Source organism: Homo sapiens, chromosome 15, assembly GCF_000001405.40.
Source record: "Homo sapiens chromosome 15, GRCh38.p14 Primary Assembly".
NCBI classification, from domain to species: Eukaryota; Metazoa; Chordata; class Mammalia; order Primates; family Hominidae; genus Homo; species Homo sapiens.
This window is the reverse complement of record NC_000015.10, coordinates 88,862,514-88,875,988: the sequence shown is the minus strand read 5'-3', so window position 1 is coordinate 88,875,988 and position 13,475 is coordinate 88,862,514. Positions and strand designations below refer to the sequence as shown.

General features: G+C 51.6%; 1 protein-coding gene across 9 annotated transcripts in view; it reads right to left on the bottom strand.

Moving 5' to 3' along the window:
• The window catches only part of ACAN (aggrecan), a 71,918-nt gene continuing 59,078 nt past the window's right edge, over positions 636-13,475 (bottom strand). For 3 of the 9 annotated variants that reach the window (XM_047432216.1, XM_047432215.1, XM_047432217.1), the window contains 4 exons: positions 4,449-4,607; positions 3,904-3,986; positions 2,964-3,108; positions 1,804-2,147 (listed from right to left, as the gene is read on the bottom strand). In XM_047432216.1, coding sequence (XP_047288172.1) covers positions 1,819-2,147; positions 2,964-3,108; positions 3,904-3,986; positions 4,449-4,607 — 716 coding nt within the window. In that variant the 3' untranslated portion in view covers positions 1,804-1,818. Of the gene's footprint in view, positions 1,585-1,802; positions 2,148-2,963; positions 3,109-3,903; positions 3,987-4,448; positions 4,608-7,659; positions 7,774-13,475 lie in introns of those variants that run through there. The other 6 variants (NM_001369268.1, NM_001411097.1, NM_013227.4 and 3 more) reach the window with 4 other exon arrangements.

Here is a 13,475-nt window from a genome sequence, read left to right as displayed (position 1 = left end):
TCCACTGGCCTCAGCCTCCCAAAGTGCTGGGATTCCAGGCGTGAGCCACTGTGCCCGGTCTCTATAGTGTACTTAAGGGCAGGATGCCCAGACCTTTTTGCTAGTAGCTGGCAAGCAGTTTACCTTGAAAATGTGTAAGCAAGATTCACTGTTCTCAGACTGTCTGCAGTTTGTTTTTTCCTTCCCTTCTTATAAATCCTGATTTTTGCCTCTGTTCTTGGATTCAGTCTACCAACCCACCAGAGCAGTGTGATCACAAAGAACCAAAGCATGCAAGGTGACCAGATGTCTGGCTTGAGTTGCTCTTTGACAGTGCCCACTTGTAAATCCATATGGCACCGACTGACGCATGTCACACGTGACAGGCACAGCCAGGTACACACATGTAGAGACATATCACATGTGCTTACATGCAGATCATCTACCAAACACATTGGGACCCTAGGAAAAATAAAGCACGACAGATGTGACTGTCCTAGGCGCTCTGAACAGACCAGAGTCACAGAGTCACACCAATTTGAGATCATTTGATCAAAACCTGTCTCCACTGCCACCATTCCTAAGACCCCTTTGGGGGACTCCGGGTCATGATTGCCTTCTTCTTAAATTAAAAGAGGGAAAAGAAAAGAGATAGATCTCTTCCAATGTCTTTATTATTATTATAATATTATAATCTTCAGTTTTCAAAAATATAAATAGGTGCACGGAACCCTGGTGCCTGCACGGTCCCGGGGGCGGGGGTGGGGAGGGGAGAAGGTTGGGCGGCACCCCCCACTGGGCAGGAAGTGCCCCCAGCAGCCCTGCCGAGTTGCCACCTGTTAGGGTGGCAGACCCAGGTGAGAGAGAGGACACTGAAAGAGGGACCCTTGGAGGGAACCCAACTCCCAGGCAGCGGAGGTCCCTCTGATGGCTCTCTCCTGCCGGCTTACCCTCGGCAGGAGGCAGGAACCCACCCCTCTCCCCCAAGGCTTTTCCCTCATACAGATGGTGTAGCCCTCCTGGCTCCTTCTCATCCAATACATTCAGCTGCGGTTCCGAGTTCTTCCTGCTCTCAGGCCTCTGCTCCTTCCAGCTCCTTTGGAGCCCTCCTCCCTCCTCCCTAGCTCTCCCTGGAGGTGAAATAACCAACGATTGCACTGCTCTTGGATAAAGTCAGGAAACAAAAATAATCTTCTTTATTTAACTTAACCCCTCCCCTTCTCCCCCTGTCCCTGCACTGGTCCCTGGAAAGGCACGATGGGAAATTGAAGAAATGTCTCTAAACTCAGTCCAAGGGTTATAATAAGTTTGCTTTGCTTTGGCATTCGGCGGACAAATTAGATGCGGTTTTGCTGATTTGGAGGGGTGAGTGGGTGCATACACAAATGTGGGATTTATTTTTTTCCTTCTTTAATGGGATTCCTTATATGACAAAAAGCGACAAGAAGAGGACACCGTCTGGGTGGGATGCACGTCAGCCTGGCAGGCTCCTGGGCTCAGCGTCCTGGGTGCGTCCTGGAAGCTCTTCTCAGTGGGCTGTGCTGGGGCGGCTCCTCCGAGGGTGCCGTGAGCTCCGCTTCTGTAGTCTGCGTTTGTAGGTGGTGGCTAGGACGAAAGGGAGATGGAAAGATATCAGTGGACCTGGAAAGAAAGTGGGGCGAGCCCAGGCTCTCCCCAGACTACCCTCTCTCCCTTGTGGAAACCAGGACTCAGGCGCCTGAGGCTTTATCGGCTTTCCTGATTTGGATTTTTCTTGGACTTTCTGGCTTTTTCTCCTTCATCCTCCAAGTGAGCCCTCTCCTGGGACAAGTACGTGGCCCTTCTAAGGGCAGTGGTCAGCTATTTGTGACTGAGCAGCCCCCCGACCTCCCTTCCCTTGCTCAACCCTGTGGACGGTGTAGGGTCCCCAGGAGAGGGGACGGGGGGAAGGCTGTGCTGGCAGAATCTAACCCTGTGCTCAGCGAGATGGCCGGGGTGATGCTCACGGTCTGTGCAGGTGATCTGAGGCTCCTCCCAGTGCCCGCTGGGCTGGCACCGGATGGTGGGCATGTGGCGCTGGACAAACCCCTCTGTGCACTGGTACCGCACCAGGGAATTGATCTCATACCGGTCCTTCTTCTGCCCGAAGGTCCTGGCATGCTCCACCACAGGGGGCTCTCCGCAGGCCACTGAGGGGCAAACACCCTTTATAAAGGGTCTCATAGGGTCTCCTGGGATGACCTATGCTGGTTGTGACCCGAGGCACTGTGGGGGACACAGCCTCAACATCTGACAGTGAGCCCTGGACGTTTTCATGCAGCGCTAAGAATCTGGAAGCCGCTGGCTGTAACATCTGGGTTCCTCAACAATTTAGAACAGCAGGAAGGGAATACAAACGGGGTGGTCTTTAAAGGGATGAAGAGAAGATGAAAGGGAGGTAGAAAGGTGTGGAGGGCGAGAGCCAGGCAGACTCAGGCTTCTTGATGAAAACATCTAGTTCAGGGGAAAATGAGACTGAAAGGAGGCCTGGGGGACGCAAGGTGGTGAGCAGGGGCAGTGGGGCGCATCCTACCAGCACCTCAATGTCCACAGACTGAAAGCCAAAGGATCGAGGCCTGACAACTATGACTCTGTGATTGATGGCCTTGGGAATCCCAAAGACAGGGAGGCTCCCCATCTGGGGGCCCTTGTGGGTAACTCTGCTGCTGCTATCCAAGGGACTGTGTGGAGTGTGGAGTGGGGGTCCTGTCTTCTAGCCTGTGACCTTCATGTGCTTGCTGTCCCTGCAAACGGTCCCTGGCAGCGAGCTTGCCCTTGCCATTGGCCCTGGGATGCCGGTGCTAGGAGGGACCCCTAGGTCAGCTCCAGTCTGCCTTTTGGACAAGTGAGGAGACACCAGCAGCCAGAAGACAAGGGACTCACCCCAGGCCACACAGCAAGAGCCTCACCTGTAGCTGGAGGTCTTGATCCTATCCTCCCCTGACCCCTCCCAGGCGCCAGCTTACCTGTGCCCTTTTTACACGTGAAGGGGAGGTGGTAATTGCAGGGAACATCATTCCACTCGCCCTTCTCGTGCCAGATCATCACCACACAGTCCTCTCCAGCGGCAAAAAAGTTGTCAGGCTGGTTGGGGCGCCAGTTCTCAAATTGCTGTGGGTGGGAGTGGGGAAGGAGTAAGGAGAGGGCAGGACAGTGCGGGTTGGCCTGCTCCGACTGTCTTCCCCGTGGAGCCTCTTCATCATCTCCTTTCTCTTTTAGCACCAACTTCAGGCTCATCTGATAGCAGCACAAAAACTGCTGGGAATCTGATCAGGGCTGTTCTAGGGGCCATGGAACCCGGTGGCCCTCTAGGGAATCAGTCACACAGCTTGGCTCAGGTCCTTCTCAGGAGCTCAGAACCCCCAAGACTCACAGGCTCTGTACATGAGCTGATTCCACACCTCTTATCCAGAAGGGCCAACCAGGGCTGACCACATTGGGTAGGGATGGATGGTAGGAACACAGCTCTTAAGTCCAGCTTCTGCCCACCAAGAAGTCCTCCCAAGACTTATCCTTCCAGCCTTGCTTCAGGACAAAGAGAATCACTGGGTGCCCGTACCATTCACTTGGCATCTATGTTGCTTTCTGTCTGTCTCCTTGAGTAGACTCGAGTTCAGTGTGGGCAAGAAACCTCTCTAAAGCTTCCGTATACTCCTCATGGTGGTGGCTGTTATTCCTTCATTTCCTTCCTGGCTCCTTGCCTCTTGCCATCATTAGCTCAATCTGTCCAGCCCCGGGCTGGGTTCCAGAGGCAGAGATGAAGGAGATAATCCCTGCCCTCAAGGGTTCCCGGTCCAGCAGCTGGTAAGCGGCTGTCTGCATGGGGTTTGAATGCATCTCTCTCCAGGGGTCTCTATCCCACTCCCTGTCCCCTGGGCCACCAGCTGTGCCTACAGCAGAACTCACCATGGGGTGTCCATCTGACCAGCGGAAGTCCCCTTCGATGGTCCTGTCGTTCAGGCCGATCCACTGGTAGTCTTGGGCATTGTCTGGGGAAAGGGTGAGGGTGTCAGGCATCACACTGGACACCCTGAGGGTGTCTGAGAAACTTGAGCTCACGGAGGCAGAGGGGATGGAGGAGGAAAGGAGGTGGGTGGGCTCCTAGGAGCAAGGCACGTGCTTCTCAGGTCCTCACAAGAGGCTCAGCACGTGCATGCCTGGAGTGCACTTCGGGCCACCTCTCCAAGCTGGCATGGACGGGTGACAGCCATAGCTTAGTCTTGGGCTGACTCTGGCTGGCAATGGGTCTGCCCTGGCTGCAGCCACAGCTTCTGGCCCCAAAGACCGTTGTCTTCTCTCTGGGAGCTCAGACTGTGGGAACACTGTTCCCCCTCCCCCAGGTCCCTGTCCTGCAGTCTCACGAGGCCCAAATCTGCTGCCTTCTGAAAGGTGAGGCCCTTTGCCTACACCGCCACTCTCCTCTCAGGCTCCAGAGGCCCCGCCGCACTCACTGTTGACAAACTCCTGCTCCTCGGGGGTGACGATGCTGCTCAGGTGTGACTGCTGCTCCCGACACCGGCGCTCAGCATCCACCCAGGTCTCGCGGTCCGGGAAGTGGCGGTAACAGTGGCCCTGGTACTTGTTCCAGCCCTCCTCACATACCTCCTGGTCTGCAACACAGGTCAGGGGCTTGAAGGGAGGGGCAGAGGCCACCAGGGGATGGCAGATGCTGCCAGTCTTATGGCATAGGTTCCTGCGTTCACCCCACCTTCCATGCTGTGCCCTCAAGGGAAGGGAGAGGCACAGCTGGAGGAGTTCAGGTTGGAAACTGGTCTGGTCCCTGGGAGCCTCTGCACATGCTTCCACTCGGGAAAATGCCAGGGGCCCTTTCCTTCCCTGATGCCACGCCCTCCCCCCTCACCCTCTCCCAAGCTTTCCTCCTCTTGATGCCTGCTCTGCTGGGCCGGCAGAGGTCAGCAGTCCAGTTCAAAAGAGGTGGGAAGGTGAGAGGTCTTGAGATTTAAGGCAAAACATGGTTCTGTGGCTCTGGGGGGCTCCAGGGAGAGAGGGAGTGGAGCTGTGGGGAAGTGTGTGGAGGCAGTGGAAGCTGGTAGCGCTGGGGCATGGAGCGGAGCTGGCAGTTTCCTTCCTGCAGAACCTCAGGTGGGAACAGAGGAGCAGAAATAAGTCTGCTTGGGGTCTGGAGAAGACTCAGAGCTCTAAGGCTGTTGATCAGAGTTGGCTTTAGTTAAGCACACTGTGCCTGCCTCTTGCAGGGGTCAGATAGCCCATTGGGGGTCTGGGATCCAGGGGCCCTGGCTTTTTATTTTGGGGGTGAATGGGAAGAGGGGAGGAGCTTCTCTCCTCACAAACCTAAATTCGTAATGGGTTCTCAGTCTGGAGAAGGGGCTGGCTTGGAGTTCTTGGACAGCCTAGGGGACAGGCGGAGCCATGCTGAGCTGGCTCACTCAGCTTTGAGAGAGCTCATTGTTAGTGTCTCCTCTCAACCTCGCCTTCAGTGACATCATGTTGATAGCTTTAAACTGGCCCCGGTGGAAGCATTTACACCTCAGGAATTGGCAGATGCTACAATCAGGGCTCCTTTCTCCTCTATGAGAGCTGGTTGTTAAACATCTGCCAGCACAGTGTGGGACAGAGTGAATTCCAAGGCCCCCCTTCTTCCTTCTTCCCCTGGGATCTCCCAGGTGGAGGGTCACAAACCCCTCAGGCTGCATGGTGGTCTCCCTGATTGGGTGCCACCATACTCTGGCTGTCCTGGAATGGAAGGACCAGTACCCGAGGGGAAGGAGTCTTAGGCTGAAGGGGTGGATGCTTGGCAAAGTGGGGGAGAGACAGTTGGGGACAGTGGAGGGAGAGCAGAACAGGGGGTCAGCAGCTTGAGAAGAAAGAACAGAGCTGTAGGAGGGGCCGTGGAGGCCTCTGGTGCCTCAGCTATGAATGCCTTCCCCAAGGGGTGAGGCTGCAGTCTGGAAAGAGGTGGAGAGGCCTCAGACTAGCTCAGCACTCTGAAGAGGCCAGAGATATCATCTTAGGGCTGACTTAGGGGGTCAGTTTTTGGCCCCTTCAGTGGCTAAGGGCTGAGCTGGGCAGGCAGAGCTGGAGGGTGCAACTTCTCTGGGAGGTGGGTATGGGAGGGCAGGGCTGTGCAGGCTGAAGATTCTTAGGAAACAGAAACAATTCCAGACTGAAAGAGGTAACAGGGACAGAGCCAAGGCAGGAGGCACCGTGGAGTGGTGAGGACTCAGGATTGGAATGGGAGAGGAGATGCAGCCCTGCTTAGCTGGGCCCCCAGGCCCAGGGCCGAGCTGGGTGGCTCTGTCACCATCTCTCTGCCCCATCAGGGTACAGAGCCCTGTGAGGGTCCTGCCTCCATTCCAGCAGAGCCCACTTTTCCAGTCTGGAACCAAATAGCTGTTGTCGGCATGGAAGTCCCAGACTCTTCTACCCTGTGGCAAATGTTGTGGTATCATGGGGAGAAAATCCTTGTAGTCTCTGCTTCCACCCCAGCCAAGACCCCATATACCAATTTCTTGGGGTCTTGGGGTGAGGATGGAGGGTGGGAGGCTGCAAGGGAGTAGGAGTGTCCAGGCCTTTTTTTTCCCAAAAGTCTTAAGTTCCTCTACCAGTCTGTAACCTTGGCAGTGCCTCAAAGGAATATGAAACCCAAAACTACCTCCTCACACTGCTTAGGACCAAAGGGAGACTTCCCAGGAGTTTCACCTGCCTTCTGGAAGTTTCTGGGTATCCAACTTGAGAGTTCATTGAAAAGGATTTTAAGCCCCTACACACTTCCAGTTCTGTCTGGGCCACTGAGACAAGTATCCAAAGGTCTCATCTCCCCTTTTCTGAGCTGGGAAATCCCCGAGATCCAGGCGGCTGGTGGGGAGACTAGGAAGCACCAAAGGTGAGAGAGCTGAGGGTTCAGTCTGTCCCTGGGAGGGTTCCTGGTGCACAGCTCCTTTTGGTAGAAGTGGTGCAGAAATGGAGAGGTTGGCAAGGCCCAAGAGAGGTAACTCAGTCCTCCCCCTTGTAACACAGTTCTGTTCTCTCTGGCCACCCTTTGCCTTGCACAAGGGAGGGAGAAAGGAAGCATAGGCTGGCATGGCATTGCCATGGCAGCTGTCACAATAGTGATGAGAAGAAGGTGACATGCAGCAGTCCTTGCTCATGCATGACTTGAGCATGCTGATGACACGGGAGATCTCAGGCAGACCAACCACAGCTCTTGCCCCAGGAGAAGAGAAAGGCAGCTTGGCCAATGTGGCACAGTGGCTCCCAGGGCCATGAAGGAACCACAAAGGTCCCATGCCCATGACCACACTGAGAAGATCCGTGGCTGTCATCTGGAATGAGAACCAATTACTCCCACCCCATAGCTTCCTTCAAGACAAGTGCTCAGAATCAGCCCTGTCCTCTTAGTCTGAACCATACACCAACCTCGGTGGTGGCATCAGTAGATCTGGAAGCCCTGGAGAAAGTCAGATCAGCCAGTGCTCCAGAAAAGGGTTTTCAAGGAGGAGAGCAAGAAAAAGAGTGGGAATCAGTGGGGCAGAATTTTCAGTTGTGGCCCCTGAAATGGCTCTCCAGATGAACCTCGGGGGCCCCAGCCAGGGCCTGGAGCCTGTTGTTAGGAGGGAAAGGTGAGGGAGGAGGAGGGGGTGCAGCAGTTAGTAACATTAGCTGAAGCCAAGACGGCCGTACCAATCTCACACAGGTCCCCTTCGTAGCTGGGAAGGCATAAGCATGTGAAAGAGTCGATGGCATCCACGCAGGTGGCTCCATTCAGACAAGGGCTTGAGAGGCACTCATCAATGTCTGCAAGAAACCAAGGGCCACCATTAGGACTCCTGCCGGCAACTCCAGCCTCACAAGCACTGTGGCCTCCTTTTGAGTGGCCAGTCCTGCTGCTCTCCAGACCCCTGGGAGGGAACTGGCTGGTTTTCCTGAGAACTGTTGCTGCTGCTGCTGCTGCTGCTGCCATCTTGGAGTGCTGAAGCAAAGATCCAGACAAGGGTTTTCTTGGGCGTGTGTGATTCTTGATTGGTAAACTTGGAGCACTGGAGCCAGATTTCCCAGTGGTTTGAAGAGATCTGATAGGTCTAAAGCCAAATGTCTTTTCTGACGGGGAACATAGAGTTCCTCCAAGATGCCTTCTCTTGTGAATATTTTGAGAGACCATGGATTCTGAAGTGGTTATGAACGTGGTGGTGAGCAAGGAAACTGAAGTCAAGTTCCTGAAGCTTGGTTAGAGGTCTTTCTTTTCCTGGCTTCCTTTGTAGTTATGACCCAGAGAAAGAGGGCAAGGCTGTGTGGGGCTAGAATGAATGACCTCGAAATGGTCTGAAGAGTGTAGATCCATATGAAAATGGCAGCATGGGATGTTTGCGTGAGACCCATCAGAGTTCTTGGGCTGCAGACATCTTTGTCTTCAGTAGATATTATTTTAGAATCTCTTATAAAAATGAAGCCTGAATCTTTCTCTCGGGAGAGGGATGGAAACCCTGTCCAACATTTCCCCATATAATCTCCTTTCAGCTTAAGGCCCCAGAAGGTGGCTATCTCCAGGGAGACACAAGTTCTAGAGGGACTCCATCCTGGCCAGTGGGAGACAAGCGTTCGGAGCTACAGAGGTGGTTAGCAAGTGGTCGCACAACAGCACTGGCACCAGTCTGGGATACAGGCACATCCCCATCCTCTGCCTCTTTTCAGATAGGCTCTTCTCTTCTGTTCTTCTGGTCCTGAGATATCCTTTCTGATCAAACTTCTTTGTGGTACTTGAATTGGTAAGTCATTGGCCATTGCCTCAAATTTTCATGAATTAGCCAAGGTGAGAACTAAATCTCCTCATCTGGTCTTTCTGCATCTTGCTGAGAAACCAGAAGACCTGGGGGATCTCTTCTGCTTTCTTCATATTTGTACTTCAAAGGTTCCTGCTGTTTTATCCCCCAACTTGGTTTCCTCCCCTGGGAACATGATAAATGCTATTATGAAGCTCCTCTTGCCAGGAGATCAGTAAAATTCTGCAGTGAGTGGGTTCCACTGGCTATGGGGCACCATGACATTGGTTTGAAGATACTGAGCCTCAGTATGTGCAGCTGTGTTCACACAGCCTTCCAGATCCAGTGACATGTCTGTAGGTGGGCTCTGCAGGACAGCGAAGCCCTGTGGTGGGAATAGGATCTCAGAGTCCTAAACATGTGCCAAGACTTAGTTCTTGCCTCCCATAAGAGCAGACCAGACCTTAAAGTCAACCTTCTGATGAGATGGTAAAGGCGGTTTCCTCTGAGTCCTTACGCTGGTGCATAGTAGACATCTTCTAGGCCAGAGGCGGATTTGTGCAACAGGTGGCCTGAAAATCCCCAGCTCTCAGGCATCTTGCTCATCCACGAAGGCCCTAATCTCCAGTTGTTGGGCATCTCTTTCTTCCCATGAAGTCTTTAACTTCATCTCGGGGGGGCACACCATAGACTAGAACCAACAGTTCCAAGTTGGAACTGTTCCAAGCAAACCCAAAATGCATGGAGGAACAGACTGAAATCCCAGCATGCACTTGGATTCCCAGCATGCCCCAGGATTCCCAGCAGCAGCAGTAGCAGCAATAGGTCAGGCCAGTCGGCAGGGCGGAAGCTGGGGGCGGCTCTCCTGCCTGTTCTCTTTTATCCATTAGCGTCATTATGGGAGATGGGAAGCACTGGGCAAGGGGAATTAAGCAAATGTAGGTGCTAAAGCAGTTGTACAGAGCAGGGAACAGGAGTGGCCTCTGGGGAGAAGAGTAAAACATCAACCCTGGGGCCTCTGGCTGCCCATGGGAGAAAGGGCAGGAAAGGAAAGACACCCCAGCGGAGGTCAGGCTGGGGGGTATCCAGTTGTCTCAGAGGCTGGTCGCATAAAACCTGCTCCCAGGCTGCCCAAGTTGGGGTGAGGGGGAGCGTTGCTTTCTTTCTGTGTTTGACCAGGGCACAAAATCTGAGAAGGCTGCGGGGACTGAAGGAACAAATTCCGGGGCTCAGAATTTTTTTTTTCACGGCCCTGGATTTACAGATGAGGAGGGAAAGAAGGGCCACAATCCTGAAAGTCAGAAAACCTGTGTTTGCAGTCAGGGTAGTTTGGAGAGGCTGAGTCAGCATCTTCAGCAGCAGGCAGAAGGCCAGGTGTCCGGTGTGGGGCTTTCTTATTAGCTGTTTTGGCCTGTGCTGTCTCATCTCCTCTTGTTCTGGCTGGAAGGGCCGTTCTGGCCCTGCATGGCCCACCTCTTTCTGAGAAGGGCAATTAGGACATCTCATGCCTTCTGGAACTGATAGAGGAGTTGGGCTGGGCCCTGCTGTGAATGCAGAGTGATGGATCCTGGATAAGGAGCTTGCAAGTGGAGGGAGGGAAGGGCTTTGGGCAATGGGCAGGCTTCATAGGGAAAGAGAGGAAAGGGAGGAAACCAGTAACTCTCAAGAACCTCCTGTGAGCCAAGTGCTGACTCACACATGTTCTCCTTCATTATCCTTCCAATGGCCAGGTGGCAAGACGTCACTATGCCATTTACAGGTGAGAAAACATGTGAATTCTTTAACATGTTTGAGATGTAAAAACAAAACAGAAAAGAAAGAAAGAAAGAACAGAAAGAAAACAAGTGAGGTGACTTGCCCAACCTGGGTGTTGGGGAGACAGAGTGGAAGAGATGGAGGAGTCAGGAAATGAGACTGGAAGTTGGCTTCTGCCCCACGTGGAGGGAGAGAGACACTGGAGTCCTGGACTGTCAGCACCTCCTTAGCATTGCTGCTACAGCTACCCAGGGCTCACTCATCATCACTGAGCAGGGACTCTGGGGAGCATCAGGATTCTCAGGGTCCTCTTCCCACTACTATAACCAAAAGGGCTGGTTTGTTCCTGAACAAGGCCCTCCAGCAATATCTCTAACTTGGGAGAGAAAATAACTGAGAGCCCCTGATAAAGGCCAGGGGAGTAGAGATAGTTGCAAAGCATCACGTGGTTGTCTGAATTGGAGACGTCAGGCCTCCACCTTGAAAAGATCTTGTCCAGCTTTTGCCTAGGTCACAGCCCAGGACCTCCAAGTGAGTGAGAGTTTATTTGCTCATAAAAAATGCTGAACGAAGAGCAATGCAGGTGCTAAAACTCAAATGATACTGAACTAAAAGGGTTGCCACTCATAAAGACTACAATATGAATGGAACTCCTCAAGCTGTTCAGTGCATACTTGTGCAGCTGTATGTGGTGATTCTGGACATAACTTTCCTGGGCAAGGATGGGGGAAACCTCTTAAGAAATACAGATAAAATTTCTCAATTCAATGGATGCTCTGCATGTTGCAAAGACCTGGGATCAATGAAGATGAACAGACCTGAGTAGATACACTAACTTTCTGGTTGTCTCTTACACAAATGAAAGAAGGATTATAAAAGCATATTCACCAGTCCTAATTTGCTTTTAAGATAAATTAATTAAATTAAAAATATAGGCCCAGCGCGGTGGCTCACACTTGTAATCCCAGCACTTTGGGAGGCCAAGGCGGGTGGATCAGAAGGTCAGGAGTTCAAGATCAGCCTGGCCAACATAGTGAAATCCCATCTACTAAATATACAAAAAATTAGGCAGGCGTGGTGATGTGTGCCTGTAATCCCAGCTACTTGGGAGGCTGAGGCAGGAGAATCGCTTGAACCCAGGAGGTGTAGCTTGCAGTGAGGGGAGATTGTGCCACTGCACTCCAGCCTGCATGACAGTGCGAGACTCTGTCTTAAAAAAAAAAAAAGGTTATAACATATGCTATCATTATTTGTACTATTTCAAATCTTTTGTATTTTAAAGGTTGATCTTGAATATAACTTTAATATCTTGCTTTATTTTTGAGACAGGGTCTCACTCTGTCACCCAGGCTGGAATGCAGTGGCACAACCATGGCTCACTACAGTCTCAACATCCTGGGCTCAAGTGAAACTCCTACCTTAGCTTCCCAAGTAGCTGGGACTAAAGGCATGTGCCACCATACCAAGCTAATTAAAAACATATATTTTTTGTAGCAGTGGGATCCCACTGTGTTGCCCAGGCTGGTCTTGAACTCCTGGGCTCAAGTGATCCTCCTGCCTCGGCCTCCCAAAGTTCTGGGATTACAGGTGTGCACCACTGTGCCCAACAATATCCTGCTTCTTAAATCAATCAGTTGCCTGTTAAAATCTGCCCAGGAACTTTTTGGTTAAGTCAAGAAGGCATACTTTGTATTTTCACTTGCAACCCTATATTTTCATTTGCTTTGAAAACATTTCTTTCTCAAGGATAGAGGTTTCTCTGAAATTCAAACATCTCTCCTAGAGGAAGAGAGAGTGGAAAGTCATAGATCAGAGCTTCAAACCTAGAAACTGAAAAATAGCAGTAAGATAGGAAGGAAACTGATTCAGTTTAAGGTCGTGCCCTCCTAACAGAGGAGATAAGAGAAGGCTACATAGCACCAGTGATGACTGGAAATTGGATGTGAGATCTGGTTAGAACAGTATTTTTCATCCTTGGCTGGCACATTAGAATTACTGGAGTAGTTTTTAAAAATATTCCTATTTAAAGATTTTTTAAAAATACCAATGCTGAAGTTCCTCTTTAGACCAATTGAATCAGACTATCTCAGAGTGGGGCCCAGGCATGATGCTTTTTAAAAGCACTCCAGGTGATTCTAAGCTGCAGCCAGGATAGAAACCTTAGAGTCTGAAGCCTAATTCCCTTGGGTGATGTCAGTAATGGAAGTGGGGAAAGACGCTGCTGTTTTTGAAGTGGGTCAGAATAGAATAGTCTTGCTTTTAATTGCTAAATAACTTATAATAACTTATCAAGAACTTATTTATGGAAGATTGACTAAAAAAGATGACAGTAATTGTCAATTTTTTTTAAGGACTAAATACAGCTTCTGACCCCCTTGACCAGGTGGAAGTTTTCCCTGAGGATTCAAATATTACTGCAGGAATCATGCTGCATTTTGCTCCCTATGGCCCCCCGAGGATACTGATCCATGGTCTTGTTTCTTTTTTTTTTTTTTTTTTTTGAGACCGAGTGTCACTCTGTCACCCAGGCTGGAGTGCAGTGCAACAATCTCGGCTCACTGCAACCTCCGCCTCCTGGGTTCAAACAGTTCTCCTGCCTCAGCCTCCCGAGTAGCTAGGATTACAGGGGTGCGCCACCACACCAAGCTAATTTTTGTATTTTTAGTAGAGATGGGGTTTCACCATATTGATTAGGCTGGTTTCGAACTCCTGACCTCAGGCAATCCATCCGCCTTGGCCTCCCAAAGTGCTGGGATTACAGGCATGAGCCACTGCACCTGGCCGATCCGTGGTCTTTTTAACAACCTGTAGTTCCTGATTGTGGTGCAAGACAATCGTGGGTCACCCGTGAAGACTGGCCACTATCTGCAGTCCTTCTGGAAGCACTTGAACCTTGAGCTAAGTTGAACAAGAGTGACCTGGGACCCCAAGGTACAGTCATGGGAAAAGAGACCCAGGTTTTGTGCTGGGCTGATCCCCACCACT